The 17,683-nt window shown below is 43.5% G+C and overlaps 1 pseudogene across 1 annotated transcript in view, besides 2 other annotated features; it reads left to right on the top strand.

Moving 5' to 3' along the window:
• Nucleotides 417–676: an enhancer, noted in NCBI's record as "active region_11920". NCBI's record gives its function as "activates an Ori minimal core promoter by ATAC-STARR-seq in GM12878 lymphoblastoid cells {active_cell/tissue: GM12878}" and the evidence as "EXISTENCE:reporter gene assay evidence [ECO:0000049][PMID:35858748]".
• Nucleotides 896–1,721: an enhancer, noted in NCBI's record as "H3K27ac-H3K4me1 hESC enhancer chr17:26644505-26645330 (GRCh37/hg19 assembly coordinates)". NCBI's record gives its function as "activates a minimal SCP1, AML or CMV promoter by ChIP-STARR-seq in naive H9 embryonic stem cells {active_cell/tissue: H9 hESC(naive)}" and the evidence as "EXISTENCE:reporter gene assay evidence [ECO:0000049][PMID:30033119]".
• The window catches only part of KRT18P55 (keratin 18 pseudogene 55), a 31,397-nt pseudogene continuing 25,531 nt past the window's right edge, over nucleotides 11,818–17,683 (top strand). The window contains exons 1-2 of the transcript NR_028334.1: nucleotides 11,818–12,224; nucleotides 12,990–13,106. The product of NR_028334.1 is annotated as a keratin 18 pseudogene 55 (transcript). The remainder of the gene's footprint in view (nucleotides 12,225–12,989; nucleotides 13,107–17,683) is intronic.

Raw genomic sequence — 17,683 nt, 5'->3', positions numbered from 1 at the left:
GGGCCAAATCCGCGCGCCTTCCCAGACCCACGCGCCTCGGTCGCCGCCTTGCCCCCGCGAGGGCTAGGCAGACCGCTTCCATTGGCTGGCGAGAAGAGGAGGCTCGTGGACAGGGGGCGGCACTCCCCACAGGGCGCACCCATTGGTCCGTATAAGTATAGCGCGTGGAGAAGGCGTCTCGTAAGCCATTTCCATTGGCCGCCAGGAGCGCCGTGTGGGCGGGGCTTAGTCACGCCGTTCGGCGCGCGGCTACTCAGTGTAGATTGCGGTTGTGAGCGCGAGCCTAGCGTTTCGGTGCTGGCCGCGTGGTATCCTGGTGTCCCGGCAGCTGCCGGCGGCGCTCCCTTCCCTCGTGGCTCCGTTCGCCACTACAACAGCAGTATGAAAACTGCACTGGCCCTTGGGCCTTCTGCAGTAAGTCAGCATTAAAAAAATAAAGCTGACGCTGTGCACGGTGGGTCATGCCTGTAATGTCTGCACTTTGGGAGCCCGAGGCAGGAGGATGGCTTGAGCCCAGAAGACCAGCCTGGGTAACTTAGTAAGACATTATCTCTACAAAAAATAAAAAATTAGCCAGGTGTGGTGGTGTGCACCTGTAGTCCTAGCTAGTTCGTGTACTAGTGACCAGCGCCTGTGCTGGGCCGCGGTACCCCGGTGCAGTGCGGCCGTCACGGAGCAGGGGTCGCAGAGCGGGGCACGAGCGCCGCGGTGCAGGTTCCCGGCCCAGCCGGGGTTGCGGGTCTGGGGAGGCAGCTGGCCGCGGTGAACAAAGAAGCAGAGGGGAGGACTCGAGGGACGTAGGAGGCAGTAAAATGGACAGGAATCCTCACCGGCTGTGGAGCATGAGGGAAGGTCAAGGATTCGTTTACACGTTCAGCAAATACTGATGTTCATCTCCACGCTGGGCGCAGGCCTGTCTCGGGGCAGGATCGCCGAGGCTGCCATTTGCTAAGAGGGGACACAGGGCAAGGGAGTGCGAGGAAGGAATGCAGCTTGGACTACGTGGACCTTGAGTGGGCTGCAGCGTTGGGTGGAGGAGGCAGTTGGGTGAGCCTGTCTGGAGTCGTAAGCTTGTGAGGCATCCGCCTTTGATGGCGAGCAGAGGGCCTGGGAGAGATCCTGGGGGAGCTCCAGCCTCAGGTCATGGGAGGAGGGGACTGAGATAGGAGCGTACTAGCAGGGGGCTATGTCACAGGGAGGGGCAGCCTGTCAACACTGAGTGATGCCCGCCTGTGGCCCTGTGGGGAACAGTTGTGTCGTGGGGGCAGGAGCCAGGGAGTAAGAAAGTGGGGAAATGGAGGCAGGAAGTGTAGACAGCTGGTCACGAAGGGGAGAAGACATGGGGCAGTAGCTGGAGAGAGATGCACTCGAGAGTTTATTTTGCAGGTGAGAAAGACTTGAGCTAGTTTAGTTTTGACAGTGGGAGAGGTTACCCCTACTCGAGAAGAGCAGGAAATGCGGCTCAAAGCCCTGGAGGAGGCGGAGGGAATGGAAGGATTGGGGTGGGTTAGGTGGGTGCACTGCGCTCCGCCCAGCTTCCCCTTCCCTTGGGGCGCTGTGGGCTAGGACAGAGGGATTATGGCAGTGTTGAAGGCCCAGCTGAGGTGGGGGGCCGCTGACCCGGAGGCCCCAATCTCTTAGGCTGTGTGCTTTGCATTTCTCTAGTGCGGGGTCTACCCAGAAGAAGGCTGTTGGACCCCTACAGAGTTTGGGTTCAGAAAAGCGAAAGGTGGCTTTGAAGAGCTGAAGAAGAGTGATTGAGGTGCAGAAGGTTGCAGTTCAAGCTAGGTAGGGGGAGAGGGAGAGGTGAGGCCAAAGGGGGCTGTAAGACAGGGAGACAGTGGAGGCCTGCTGAGGAACACGTGCCAGCGTGATGGGAGTCACTGGGCCGGAAGGGTGGGAGCTTATGAGGAGGGCGTGCAATACCTGAATTCCTGGGGTCAGGAAGAGGTTCTGCCCGTGGGAGTGTGCGGCTGAAATGGAGTGGAGGGGAAGGTCTTTGGAGATGAGGTCAAGGGAAGGCCACCCAGGGTGGTGGTGGCGAAAATGCCACTGCACACGGGGGAGTAACCAGAAGGAAGGTGAGCATGGGATGAGAGTGGAGGGGAAACTGTGTGGACATGGCCTTGCGGAGGGAGGAGGCCGCTTATCCTGACCTTGAAGGGTGCGAGAAGGTGAATAGCCTGCGCTGGAGAGGGCTGTGGGGAAGCTGAGTCCTCAGCCAAGTGCCAGTTACTGGGGGAGGTAACAGTGGAGGGGTTTGGCTGGAGAGGAGGAGGAGCAGGTTGGAAGGAGACAGTAGGAGAAATGTGGAGGTCTTTGGGTGGGGAGCAGGGGATGAACAGCATGGGTGGCTGAGCATCGTGAGGGCACACAGTTCTGGCGTCCCCCAAGTCTCAGGTCAGCCTTGCCCAGGACCACAGAGCCGGCAGCCACAGGGAGGCAGGGGTGTTCAGGGCTGTTTGTCCTGCTCCGAGGGGGGAGCCGGGCTCCATGGAGAGAACACTCTACCAGGGGCTCAGGAGGGAGGACTCAGAATTAGCTGCTGCTTTTTTTCCAGGAAAAAAAAAAAAAGTCAATGCCTGGGAAACCTTAGGTCACCTGAGGAGAGAGCCCATTTTGTTCACACCATAAATCTTTAAAGGCAGTTTGCTCTTTCTCAGACTCCACTCTGTTCCCAGACTAACTACTCCTGTTAGTCACTTAGTAGCCATCTTGGTTATCAAATTGACCATTGAGTTATCACGGTGCTTGTGTTCAAGTAAGCCTTATGTTATTTAATAGTGGGCCAGGTGTGGTGGCTCATACCTGTAATCACTTTGGGAGGCCGAGGCAGGAGGACCCCTTGAGGCCAGGAGTTTAAGACCAGCCTGGGCAACATAGCAAGACCCCATCTCTTAAAAAAAAATTAGCTGGGCATGGTGGCTTGCCTGTAGTCCCAGCTACTTAGGAGGCTGAGGTGGGAGGATCTCTTGAGCCCAGGAGTTTGAGGCAGCAGTGAGCTGTGATCACCTCACTGCACTCCAGCCTCCACAACAGTGAGACCCCTCTCAAAGGCCCTAAAGTGCAATGGTAGCGATGTGACAATTCGGATATGCCAATGAGAAACCATAAAGTTCCTTTATGTGAAAAGGTGAAGATTTTTGATTTAGGAAATAATGCTGAGGTTGCTAAGATCTAGAGAACAGTAAGATATTTTGAGAGAGAGCACATTCACATACTATTTATTACAGTATATTGTTATACTTGTTCTATTTTATTGTTAATGTCTTACTGTGCTTGATTTATAAATTAAACTTTATCATAGGTTTGTATGTATAGGAAAAAACAATATGGTTCAGTACTACCTATGGTTTCAGGCCTCCACTGGGGGTCTTGGAACATGTTCCCCCACGGATAAGGGGGACTTTTGTATACAGCTCCTCTCTCACTTCTCCAAACCATTCACTTGAATGAGAACATGAAGGCTGGGCGCAATGGTTCACACGTGTAATCCCAGCAGAGGCCAAGGCAGGTGGATTACCTGAGGTCAGGAGTTCCAGACCAGCCTCACCAACATGGTGAAACCCAAACTCTACTAAAAGTACAAAAGTTAGCCAGGCATGGTGGTGCACACCTACAGTCCCCGCTACTCAGGAGACTGAGGCAGGAGAATCACTTGAACCTAGGAGGCAGAGGTTGCAGAGTCATGATAGCACCATTGCACTCCAGCCTGGGCGACAGAACAAAACTCTGTCTCAGAAAAAAAAAAAAGGCTGGGCATGGTGACTCAGGACTGTAATCCCAGCACTTTAGGAGGCTGAGGTGGGTGGATCACCTGAGGTCAGGAGTTCAAGACTGGCCTGGCCAACATGGTGAAAATCCATCTCTACTAAAAATACAAAAATTAGCCAGGCATAGTGGCGTGCACCTGTAGTCCTAGCTACATGGGAAGCTGAGGCAGGAGAATCACTTGAACCTGGGAGGTGGAGGTTGCAATGAGCCAGGATCGCACCACTGCACTCTAGCCTGAGTGACAGAGTGAGACTCCGTCTCAAAAAAAAAAAAAAAAAAATGGAACATGAAGAGCTGGGAGGGCCTTTGTAGATATCTAGGGCCTAACACCTCATGAGGAAACTGAGACTCAGAGAGGTGTTTGTCCGAGGTCACAAAGTGAGTGACAAGGCAGGGACTGGAACCCTGGTATCCTAACGCCCAGCCCCAGGCCAAGTCTTCTATCCCTAGGGCAGAGCAGTGCCTTCCCGCACAGGGTCTTCAGACCAAACCCAGGGCCCAGGAGAGGTCTGGCTAGGTTGGCACACTACACAGCTGGAGAGGCCTGGCAGCACTGCTCCCACCCTCCATCCATTATGGCTTTAAGGATATGGTGGTACCATATCCTTTTAATTTACCTTGGGGTGGGTTAGGTGTGTGCTCTGCGCTCCACCCAGCTTCCCCTTCCCTTAGGAAGTTATAATTAAGTTCCCTGTAGAACTTAATTATAACTGCTTGCTGGAGGGCAATGGGGCCGGAGGAGTGTGGGCTAGGATTTGTCCAGGAAATGTGGTAAGTACAGGTGTCAATGTGACAGTTTCTCAGAAAACATCTCATCCAGCCCTGGCAACATAGTGAGACCCCCATTTCTATAACAAAAATTAGCCGATGTGGTGGTACGCACCTATAGTCCCAGCTACTCAAGAGGCTGAGGTGGGAGGATGGTTTGAACCCAGGAGTGATCACACTACTACACTCCTGCCTGGGTAACAGAGTGAGACCCTGCCTCAAAACAAAAAACCCCAAATGTCACCTAGCCAAATTTGTTACCTATAAAGATTTTCAAGGCCAAGCACTTTCAGTGGATGGTTCCTCTGTCCAAAAACATTCTGTCCAGCTGTTTGAAATTTCTTTAGTAGGGGACCATAGCTCTTAATTTGATGAGGTCAGATAAGTCTTAGAATGCAAATGGCTCTAAGAGAGGTCAACTGAGGAAGACAACAGTGTGGAAAGAATGACCCTGTCCTTATGAGAACAATGTTTAGTGCCTTTAAAAAAGTATTTATATTGTGACAAGACAAACACCATTAGCCTAACAGTGGACCCAATGATGGCAGAAAGCGAATTCTAGCATTGTAACCCCAGCTGAAAGGTACTTGGAGCAGGCCATGCCAAATTGGCCACTTGCCTCTTTGGCAGCAACTGTACAAAGCTCTTTCTTCACCTCTCAACTTTTGCTTCACTTTTCTGTCTACTTAAAATGCACCCACCCTTCTCACCCCACCCCTGCTTACCTCCCCCATCTCTATGTATTTTACTATTTGGCTGAAGGCCACCCTACCCCCGCCCCCAATTGCCTCTATTTGGTGGCACTGTTACATCCTCTGAACCTGTTTCCGAAAGTTTGTCCCTTTCCACTGAGCAACACTGATTGGAGCCCATGTCTCTGGACATATTTCCCACTAGATCGTAGATTCCTTGAAAAGTATAAAAACTGTTTATATTTTTCACTGTTTTAAAACTTACCCTTTTAAAAATTAGGAGCCACAACACCAAGTCAAAAAGAATAAGAAATAAACACATCATCAAAATTATTTATTATACAAGAAAAATTATCAATACATCTTTCAGTTCTTTAAAATGGTTATCAGCAATTCTAAGTCCTGTCTTCATTAATAATTCACTGTATGACCTCATGCAAATCATGTCATATTCCTCATTCTTTGTACCTTCATTTGTAAAATGAACTTGAACTAGACACTCTTTCAGGCCATTTCTTGGTCTAAAATCCCACAAATTTGCAGATTTAAGCTGAATTAAAGTTACCCTATTAAAAAGGCTAATTGATTTCTTTAACGTTAATGCAAAAACATAAACACCATCAACTCCCACAAAAGTAAACAATCACAGTATCACAACAATCATAGTAATCCCTGGTAGTGAAGCACAAAACTTTTTCCTCCTACTGCTAAAATAAATGTAGTCTCATCACAATGACACGAACACCAAGTAAAAGCAAACAAAATACTAGGTGTCACTGGGGTTAGTGATGACTTTTTAATTGGAAAACCAAAGGCACACCCATGAAAGAAGGAATTGGTAAGTTAGACTTTATTAAAATTTAAAACTTCTACTCTGCAAAAGACACTGTCAAAGGGAAGACAAGACACTTTGGCAGTTTCTTACGAAGTTAAACCTATTTTTACCGTTCAATCCAGCAATCACACTCCTTAGTATTTAACTAAAGGAGCTGAAAATTTATGTCTACCCAAAAACCAAAACACCAATATTTATAGCATTCTTTATTCATAATTGCCAAAACTTGGCAGCAATTCAGGTGTCCTTTGGTAGGTGAATAGATAAGCAAACTGTGATATGCCAGACAGTGGAGTATTATTTATGGCTAAAAAGAAATGAGCTATCAAGCCAGGAGAGACATGGAGGAATCTTGGATACATATTCAGCAGTATGTGAAAGAAGCCAATCTGAAAAGGCTACATAACGATTGGAAATATATGGCATCCTAGAAAAGGCAAAACTACGGAAACAGTAAAAAGATCAGTACTTGCCAGGAATTTGAAGGGAAGAAAGTAAAGGGATGAACAGGTGACACTGGGGATTTTTTGAGCAGTGAAATTATTCTCTATGATACTATAATGATAGATAAATGTCACTATACATTTTCCAAAATGCATAGAACTACACCAGAAGTGGACCTTTCATCTATTGTAACAAATGTATTATAACAAATGTGTAGGAGGCCATGTCTTTACTTTCAGCTCAAATTTGCTGTGAACCTAAAGCTACTTGAAAAAAATAAAGTCTATTTATATAAAAGTAAACAAAACAAAAGTTAATAATTACAATAAACTCATATGCAATATTTCTGAAGCACATCTTCCAAACAGCATGTGTATTTTAAAATTTTAAAACTTTACTAAAAAACTGGTAACAAATTGAAAACAATGGTTACCTCTAAGAAATGAAACAGAGGAGAAAGGAGGGCTTTCTTTCAGTTTTTACTTGTTACAGTGTAGCGTGAACTTTTAACAACATCTGTTTTACATTTGTATTATTTGTGTTTAATAGTATATTTTAATAAAAGGGGCCACAATGTACTAAAAAATTAAAGACATTGCTAGCACAACCTTTCCTCACCTGTGACCAGGCTGTCAGACTAGATAATGTATCTAGAGGTAAGATTAAAGTTCTTACAAAAAAAAATTTTTTTTTAAGTTCTGCCTGTGTGTTCAGTCTAACAAAAATGTCTCAAGAAAAGCATCTTACAAAAAAATGTCCTTAATGGGCATAATTTTAACAGTGCTAATTACCTTTAAAAGACTGTGGGCCTGTAATCCCAGCTACTCTGGAGGCTGAGGCACCAGGACTGCTTGGGCCCAAGAGTTTGAAAACAGCCTGGGTAACACACGCTGTTAAAAAAAAAAAAAGAAAAAAGAAAAGAAAAGAAATGGAAAAAATGGAGAGAGAGGAGTGGACAAGAGCAAGGATGTGAAAGAACTCAGTCTTTACCGTGGTTAACTTGAATAAAATAAAAATTGTCTTGTATGAACCAGCCTCTTCTCATTTCATTTACATAGGCAACATGGCAAAACCCTGTTTCTACCCCACCCCCCCCCCCAAAAAAAAGCCACACACGCACACACCAAAAAGAACAAAAATTAGCCAGATGTGCTAGTGCACACCTGTAGTCCCACAGCTACCTGGGAGGCTGAGTCAGAAGAATAATTGAGCCCAGGAAGTAGAAGCTGCAGTGAGCTGTGATTGTGCCACTGCCTTGTAGCCTGGGTGAGCCTTAGTTACTCTAAATCAACACTTTTTTTTTTTTTTTTTGAGATGGAGTCTAGCTCTGTCGCCCAGGCTGGAGTGCAGTGGTGCAATCTAGGCTCACTGCAAGCTCCGTCTCCCGGGTTCAGGCCATTCTCCTGCCTCAGCCTCCCGAGTAGCTGGGACTACAGGCACCTGCAACCACGCCCGGCTAATTTTTTGTATTTTTAGTAGAGACGGGGTTTTACTGTGTTAGCCAGGAATCAACACATTTTTTTTTAAAGGAATAAGCTTTGTAAATATTTTCTCCTAGTCCAGCTTATGAATTTTTTATTTCATATATTGTGCTTTTGGGCTGTCTCTAAGAAAATATTTGTCTAGCCTGTGGTCGCAAAGATTTTCTTCTGTATTTTTCTTTTAGAATATTTCATTTTCAGTTTTACATTTAGGTCTGTAGCGCATTTTAAGTTAATTTTTTATTATGATTCAAAGTATGGATTGAGGCTCTTTTTTTGTTTTGCATATGGACACCGAGTTCTAGTGTCGTTTATTGAAAACACTATCATTTCTCTGTTGAATTCTCTTTGTACTTTTGTTGAAGATTAATCATAGATGTGTGGGTCTTTTTTTGGACTAAAACTCTAAAACTATATTATTAATCCTGATTTGTATTGCATCTGACAGATCCAGAATGATTTGAAAAGTTAATTAGCTAACAAATTTAGAAGTTTGTTAAGTGTCTTATTTGGAACCTGGCATTTGCTGACAGTAGTTTGTAATCTACAGAAGGGTTTTCTAAAATAACTTTAAGCCTAAGATTAAAAGAAGATTTTGCTAATGACTCATTATCTGTTTGGAAAAACTTGTGTGATTTTTCATGCAGTAGGGATGAGCTGAAATGGTTTTTCCTAGAAGATGCCCATTTTCTTTTTTGTAGAATTACTTGGTAGTTCTCTAATAATCTGTTTGTGCTTTATATCATCTTTGATAGTGATACATTTGGGGGCAGTTCTCTTTTTGTTTAAAAACCATCACGTAGTTGTCCTAAGTTAAATATTCTAGGCCAGACTTGATGGCTTATATCTGTAATCCCAGAATTTTGAGAGGCAGAGGCAGGAGGATCACTTGAGCCCAGGAGTTTGAGACCATCTGGGCAACAGAGTGAGACCGCTCTACAAAAATCAAAAACAGGTCGGGTGCGGTGGCTCAGGCCTGTAATCCCAGCACTCTGTGAGGCTGAGGTGGGCGGATCACCTGAGATCAAGAGTTTGAGACAAGCCTGGCCAAAAAAAAAAAAAAAAAAAAAGAGAAAAGAAAAAAAAGTAGTTGGCTGTGGTGGCGCATGCCTGTGATCCCAGTTACTCAGGAGGCTGAGGCAGGAGAGTTGCTTGAACCCAGTTGGTGGAGGATGCAGTGAGCCGAGATCGCGCCACTGCACTCCAGCCTGGGTGATGGAGCAAGACTCCATCTCAAAAAAAAAAAAAAAAAAAAATCAAGAACATATCCAGGCATGGTGGTACATTCCTGTTGTCCTAGCTGAGGTGGAAGGATTGCTTGAGCCCAGGAGTTCAAGGTTACAGTAAGCTATGATGGCCCCACTGCACTCCAGCCTGGGTAGCAGAGAGAGACTCTGTCTCTAAACAAACTAAAGGTTTAATTACTTTTTAAAAAGTAGTACACAATTATTGTTTTTAGGATGGATTTTTTTTTTTGACAGACTCTTGGTTTGCCACCTAGGCCTGAGTGCAGTGGCTTCATCAGCTCACTGCAGTCTTGAACCCCTGGGCTGAAGTGAGGCAGGAGCCTCAGCCTCCCGAGTAGCTAGGACTATAGGACTAGGAATACAGGCACATGCCACCACACCCAGCTAATTTTTTTGTAGAGACAAGGTCTCGCTATGTTGCCCAAGCTGAAGTCCAACTTCCTGGCCTCCAGCAATGAATGCTCCCACTTCGGCCTCCCAAAGTGCTAGAATTACAGGCGTGAGCCACTGTGCCTCGTCTATTCTTTTATCATTAAATTGTATAGACCTGTAGAGTGAAAGAATTGATATTCGGCTGTACATTGGTGTTCTATAATATAATAAGGTTTGAGCTAATCTCAGTATTTGAATATTTATTATTTAGTAATTTAGAAGTACTTTGCAATTAACACCTTTAAATTAACTTAAAATTTTAAATGTAGTAGAAATTAAAATGCCAAGAAGCAGGTGTTATTTAAAAAAAATCATTGGACAAAATATTGAGGTTAATTTAAGACAGACTTTCAGGATTAATAGCTATTTTAAATTTTTTAAAAATCATTTGTTGATGAGTGCTTTTTCTTATTCCTGAAATAACTACTCATAAGTCCTTTTTTATTTTTTTATTTTTAATTTTTATTTTTTTTTGGTCTTTGGAAAACATACTCCTGTCCCTTGCTATTCCATTTTTCTCCTTTTTTCCCCCTTTCTTCATTTGGATAGACTTTGCCATACAATTTTATTTTTATTATTTTTATGTGGTAAAATACACGTAATAAAATTTATCACTTTAACTGTTTTAAAGTATATAATTCAAGCCACGTGTAGTGGAGCCCGTAGTTCCGGCTAGTCAGGAGGCTGAGCCTGGGATCCTTGAGCCCAGGAGTTTGAAGACAGCCTGGGCAACATAGCGAGACCCCCTTCTCTTAAAGCAAAAGTATATAGTTTAGTGGCATTAAGTACATTAACAATATTGTATGACCATCACCACCACCATCTTGTTCTAGAACTTGTTCATCATTGCCACTTAATGTTAGCACCTAATTGTTCCCTAGTGTTTGGCTGCCATATTAAGTATTAGGTTTGTAAAGGATAAACAAGACTTAGTTCTTGTCCTCGAGGACTTCAGAGTCTAGTGAGAGAAACTTAACATTTATGATACAATGTGGCAAATTACATGCTAGAGTTCCCCATCACTGAATTTTATTTATTCAATTAGAATTTTTTTATATATTTACCAATGCATATATTTAATGAATCAGGCATACAATGCTCACCCATTCAGCAATTTCAGTGCTTTTCCTGTTTGCCTTGAAAATTTCATCCAGGAATTCACAAAGGAATACTCGATGAAGCCACATCATCAAATGGATTTTTCCCCAGGGAAGTCCAGTTTTTTTCCTTTTTTTTTTTATTATACTTTAAGTTCTGGGGTACATGTGCAATTCCTCAATTAGAATTTTAATTTTACCTTGAGAAAGCAAAGTAACTTTTTGTTAATATTCCGGTTATCGTATCATTCCACACACTGAATTCATTTAGGCTAGACCAAAAGACTGAAGTCTTTAGTCTTTTGACTTAGGTCATTGTGGGACTCACAAATCCTCATGCCCTATACTGTATTGCAAGAAGGGAACCAGAAAATTGACATTTTGATTTAGAACCAAATTATGAGCTATTCCTTCCTAATGAAGCAGGGAGATCTGTGAAAACTATGATTAGAGAGAACTTCTTAGTTGTCTGCAACTATCATTTGTTGAAACTGTTTTTACTTATTTTAGTTGCAGTGACAACTTGCTTATGATCAAATACAGTATTATATGGGTATGTTTATCTCTCTAGGCAGATCATCTTGATGAATAGTTGCTTTGGAAACTGTCAAGAGATTGTTTTTAATTTCTTGAAAAGCCTGGGAGTGCATTTTACAAACCTCTTGTAAGACAGAAAAGTTCTCTAAGTCCCCACTCGACCCAGGAAGGATTTTCTTCATTATTAAAAATTTAATGCAATATTGCTTATAAAAGTAAAACAGCGTGGCTTTTTCCATCTATAGAAGGGCTAAATATGGCAAATATTTTCTATTAAAAGGTTGGGGTGGAGTTGAGAGAAGCTTTTTCATATTATATACACAGGCCTTCTATAAACGGCCAGTAAATCTTCCCAAAGGGTGGTGGGCATTTCCAACGGGCCAAACATGGCCTGTCATTCTACTATTTCTCTCTTCCAGCAGCAAGGTCTAGTAGCACTAAGACCAACCGCCCGATGGCCGCTAACTGTTCTACCGGTCGTCGTTCGGAACTCCGTTCTCCTTCTAGGCCAGTTAAGGCCTTTGTCCGTTGAGGTCAGGACTAGGTGGTCTCAGCCAATGGGGACAGAGCGGTCACGGGGACCGGGTTTGCGCGGCTCCGAGGCCTAACCAGGCAGCCGAGCCTGCCTGCGTCCCGAGGCCGCCTTCCCGGGACCTCTGCACCCTCAGGTCCTCCGTTGGGTGGTGTTCGGGCGGCCGCCAGGCTTCCCGGCCCGCCACTCCCGCTGCCACCCAAAGGCGCTGCGTGCCGGCGGCTTGGTGGAGTTTCGTCGAGGCCCGGCAGGCTTGGGCCAGGAGATCCAGCGGCCGGGCGGGGTCCCGGCTGAGAGAGGCCGATGCCGCCGTCAGTCACCGAGATGGGGTGGGGACGCTTCAAGGCCTGGGTCTGGCCAGGGGGCAGTCACAGCAGGGCCCTAGGTGTGTGCAGGGCGGAGGGCGCCGCCTGTCCCGGAGCCTCCAGCTCACCTGCCGGCCCGGGCAGGAGGAGCTTGGAGGGCCCTGGGGGAACGGGTCGCGCTCTGCCGCAGCTCATAAGAGTCCATAGTCTTCCTAATGTAGTCAGTCTAAGACAATTGGTGTCCCAAATGGTTGATAGTGTTTTAGTTTACAATTTCAACATTTGTTAGAAGAAAAGTTCAGATTACTGGGCCTAGATTCCTAATAAATTGTGTTTTGTTTTGTTTGAAATAGGGTCTCGTTCTGTCACCCAGGCTTGGAGTGCAGTGGCTTGATGACAGCTCACTGCAGCCTCGACCTCCTGGGTTCAAGTGATCCTCCCACCTCAGCCTCCTGAATAGCTGGGGCTACAGGCTCACACCACCATGTGTGGCTAATTAATTTTTTTTTTCCAGAAACAGGTTTTCACTGTGTTGCCCAGGCTGGTTTTGAACTCTTGGGTTCGAGTGATCTTCCTGCCTCGGCCTCCCAAAGTGCTGGGATTACAGGCGTGAGCCACTGTGCCCAGCCCTAATACGTTTTTATAAATTTTTTAAAGTTGGAATTTGTGGTGTGGTTTTGATTGTCTACTGAAAAAGAATGATTGCAGTCTCCTTTTAGGTAAAAAAAAAAAAAAACAACAACAACAAAAAAACAAACTTAAAAATAACTCTTAGTTTGGTTAGGCTGTTAATAAATTTGACATTTATTGCTCTTGAAAAATAGCTGTGATCATCCTTTTTTCAGGGTAATCACTTTGATCAACATGACGAAGGACACTTGGAAACTGAACAAGCATCACTTGACAAGCCTACAGAATCCATAAGATGGATCATTGCTTAATTTCGGGTCTTAGCCAGTTAGGTAGGTAGTGTTTGTGTGACACTTAATGTGAATGAAGTTAAACTTATTAATAACCAATACAGTTTAGAGTTGTTTTCTTCCATGCCATACAGTAACCAGATAGAGTTTGGGATGTAATCTAATATTTAATATGTTGGGAAATCGGTCCAAAACAATCTAAAAACACATTAGAATTTTGATGGGGGAAAAACATCTTTTTGGCCCATACTAATATTTTGTTGAAGGTAACAAGTTAAAGTTTAGCATTTTGTGAATTGAATAAAGGAGTAAAATGTATTTTGATCCTTTATAGATTCACCTTTCCTGAGCAACATAATTATGTATGAAATGTTCCTACATAAGTAGAATATGGAAAAAAAAATTTTAAGTTCCATTAGAAACAGTTAAGGGCTGGGTGCAGTGGCTCATGCCTGTATTGCAGCACTTTGGGGGGTCGAGGTGGGCGGATCACCTGAGGTCGGGAATTTGAGAGCAGCCTGGCCAACGTGGTGAACCCCATCTCTACAAAAATATAAAAATTAGCTGGGCGTGGTGGCACACCCCTGTAATCCTAGCTACTCTGGAAGCTGAGGAACGAGAATTGCTTGAACCCAGGAGGTGGAGGTTGCAGTTAGTCGAAATTGTTCCACTGCACTCCAGCCTGAGCAACAGAATGAATCTCCCTCTCAAAAGAAAAAAAAAGAAAGAAAAAAAGAGAAGAAACAGTTAAGGAGTAATAAGTTTTATTTATCAGACTCTTGTGAAACATGGCAAGTTTGGGCTCTGTGGCTTAAGAAATGTCTAGTTTTTGTCAAAAGTTGATTATTTCTATCTTTTCACACTGCTTAGTTTTAGACACTGATGATATCAAGCAATAGAACAAGGAGATTTATTTACCTGGCTCTTAGTTTAAAAACAAAACAAAAAAAAACTTTGACTGGGTTCTGTAGCTTACACCTGTAATCCCAACACTTTGGGAGGCTGAGGTGGGTGGATCACTTGAGGTTACGAGTTCAAGACCAACCTGGCCAACATGGTGAAACCCCGTCTCTACTAAAAATACAAAAAAATTAACCGAGCATGGTGGCGGGCGCCTGTAATCCCAGCTACTTGGGAGGCCGAGGCAGGAGAATCCCTTGAAACCAGGAGCTGGAGGTTGCAGTGAGCTGACACCACACCATTGCACTCCAACGTGGGCAACAAGAATGAAACTCTATCTCAAAAAAAAAAAGTCTAAATTTTTTAACATTATTTTTATTTTGAAAAACATTATTTTTAAATAACACATCCATTGTTAAAATGAAATTGTCATTATCATTGGCATTTACTGTTTGTGCTTAAGTGCACATATTTAATAAGGGTTTCAGTGAGTTATTGGTAAAACTTGAGTGGGGAAAAAAGGTCAAAGAGGGAATCTTAATCATTATAACCATCATGACAAGCCCTCTTCCTCTTAAGAAACACTAGCTTCTTAGGAAAATAAGGCAATTTAGAGAGTGCAGATAGTTTAACTTTAGCTTTTATTTTCAAAACTGTAACATAGTAAAGGATCAACATATATTAATGTTCCTAATTAGGTTGGTGTTTTGTGTGTTTGTGTGTGTGTTTAGATGTTTATAGAAACTTACACAACTTGGGGTGTACAACATTTTTCTTCCATAGCAGTTGGCCCATATTAGCTAAGCAGCCATGATCTGGTTTGTTTTGCACAGTCTGCCTTTTTAAAATTTCTTCTCTTCTTTCTCTCCATCTCCCTCGCTCCCCGCCCGTTTTTGTTGTTGTTGTTGTTGTTGTTGTTGTTGTTGTTTTTGAGACAGCTTTTGCTCTGTCACCCAGTGGTGCAATCTTGGCTCACTGCAACCTCTGCCTCCTGGGTTCAAGCGATTCTCCTGCCTCAGCCTCCTGAGTAGCTGGGATTACAGGCACCCACCACCATGCCCCGGCTAATTTTTGTATTTTTAACAGAGATGAGGTTTCACCATGTTGGCCAGGCTGGTCTCGAACTCTTGACCTTGGGTGATCCCCCTGCCTGGGCCTCCCAAAGTGCCAGGATTACAGGCATGAGCCACCACGCCTGGACTCCACCTCCCTTTCTTATTTCTGTCCTTCTGGTCCAGTGAAAACTGCATAGAGTACCTTCTATCTTAATGTGCTGGCATGATGCTAGACTTAGGCATGGCAGTAATTGATGGTGCATGTGATAATACTGCAGAGGGAGAATTCTCATCTGCTGTTTCACTGAAAGCCTAGTCTTGTGTTTTGACATAAGGATAAAATGCCAAGCTCACTTTGCTAAGCTAAAAATCACTGGTTTGTGTCTTGTTCTGTATTATTTTGGGGATTATCACAATAATGAAATCTGTAGGCTAGATCAGTATCTTGTATTTGAAAAATAATTTTTCCATTTTAATTTTAAAACTCGGGGTGGGGGGGGTCAAAGTTTCAGATCAGAGCTATCAGAATCAACCTCCCAGTACCATATTCTACAAGGTGCATGGTTGGTTAATATCCTTACACAAGCTATAATTCTGTGGGTACTCAACAGTAGCAGGAAATTTAATTAAATGAAATTTGCAACCTAGTATTCATCATTACTACACACAACAAAGATTTTTTTTAAACCACTAAATTAAATGATATTTAACATTTTTAAGCCTTCTTGGAGGCTGAAGTCTTAAAAGATTTTTGGAAAATTTATTCCTGTGGCACATGAGACTGATGCTATTTTACCTCTCACAATGTCCAGGATTTTTTCTAGCACACATCATAGGGAGAACACTATCAGAGGCAGTCTAATTGAGTAATCATTGTTGAATAATCTCAATGAATAGGAGTAGAATTGATATATGCCTTATTTATTAAATAGTGCTACCTTCTTTACTTAAAATAGCAAATAGTACATAGTACTCAGGCTGGATATTTAATTTTTTTAAATAAATAAATGCATGTTCAGAAATGTATATTAATAATTATACTTCTAATGAAAATTTACTTCCGAAATACATAAATATATGTATTATTTGTGATGTGGTAGTTTAGGGAGGAGGAGGAGGAGCTTCGTAGCCTACATTGTGTTAGATAGAAGTAGGACACAGGATATGGGAGAATAAACAAATATGTAAGACGAGAAAAAGAAGTAGTACACACAAGATAAGAGGAATCTTATTTCTGTTGCCTGATCATTTGGGAGTAAAATTTTAAGTGTTCTTCTTTTTTTTTTAACTTTTTTTTTTTTCTTGAGCCAGAGTCTCAAACGATTGCCCAGGCTGGAGTGCAGTGGTGCGATCTCAGCTCACCGCAACCTCCACCTCCCAGGTTCAAGCGATTCTCGTGCCTCAGCCTCCCAATTAGAAGAACTTAATTTCCAACCAAAGAACAGGCCACACAGCCACCATTTTGGGGTCTTGAGCAGAGAGAGAAAACAAATAGGTGGTTTGTGAGAACTCTGAATTATGTAGAAAACCAGCTTTTTGCTTATTACCCTTTGTCAAAATTCAGTTGCCTTATTAATTAAAAGTTAGGATTCCTTTGCAATTCTTCCATGTCCATTTAAATTATATCAAGTTAACTCTTGAGAAGAAAAAAAAATTATAAGCAGCCTACTTGTATCATGCTTGTTTGTTGTAAACCACGCAGTTGTGTGTGTGTGTGTGTGTGTGTGTGTGTGTGTGTGTGTGTGTGTCTTTTGAGAGACGGAGTCCTGCTCTGTCACCCAGGCTACAGTGCAGTGGCATGATTTCAGCTCACTGCAACCTCTTTCTTCTGGGTTCAAGTGATTCTCCTGCCTCAGCTTCCCAAGTAGCTGGGACTACAGGCGTGCGCCACTATGCCCAGCTCATTATTGTATTTTTAGTAGAGACGGGGTTTTGCTATATGTTGGCCAGGCTGGTCTCGAACTCCTGACCTCAGGTGATCCGCCCACCTCAGCCTCCCAAAGTGCTGGGATTACAGGTGTGAGCCACCGCACCCGGCCGACAGTTTTTAAAAAGTTTCTATAATTTATTTTTGGTTCTATGAGATTATAATTAAACCCCAAATTATATATATTTTTTAAAAAAAAGCCAAAAGATTTTTAGTCATTATTATAGTAACTGAAACTAAGTAAAGAGTTACTTTTTAAAAAATTATTTTTCAAAATAATTACTAGTTTAGAAATAAATTGGCTGGGCGTGGGAGCCCGGCAGGTCAAGGATGCAGGAGCTGTGTGACTGTGCCACTGCACCCCAGCCTGGGTGACAGAGCAAGACCCTGTCTCAAAAAAAAAAAAAAGAAAAGGTAAGAAAGAAATTTAGTATTCATTGCTCTTGTTCTGTCTAGATTACATGTTTGAGCCATAAGCTAGTTGTACCAACTTAGTGTTATAAATAGCATCCATGGGCCGGGTGTGGTGGCTCAGGCCTGTAATATAATCCCAGCACTTTGGGAGGCTGAGGCAGGCAGATCATGAGGTCAGGAGTTTGAGACCAGCCTGACCAACATGGTGAAACCCTGTCTCTACTAAAAATACAAAAATTAGCTGGGCGTGGTGGCACGTGCCTGTAATCCCAGGGTCTCAGGAGGCTGAGGCAGGATAATCGCTTGAACTAGGGAAGCAGAGG

Source organism: Homo sapiens, chromosome 17 (assembly GCF_000001405.40).
Source record: "Homo sapiens chromosome 17, GRCh38.p14 Primary Assembly".
Taxonomy (NCBI): Eukaryota; Metazoa; Chordata; class Mammalia; order Primates; family Hominidae; genus Homo; species Homo sapiens.
The sequence above is the reverse complement of the archived record's forward strand: the minus strand, read 5'-3'. Positions and strand labels throughout refer to the sequence as shown.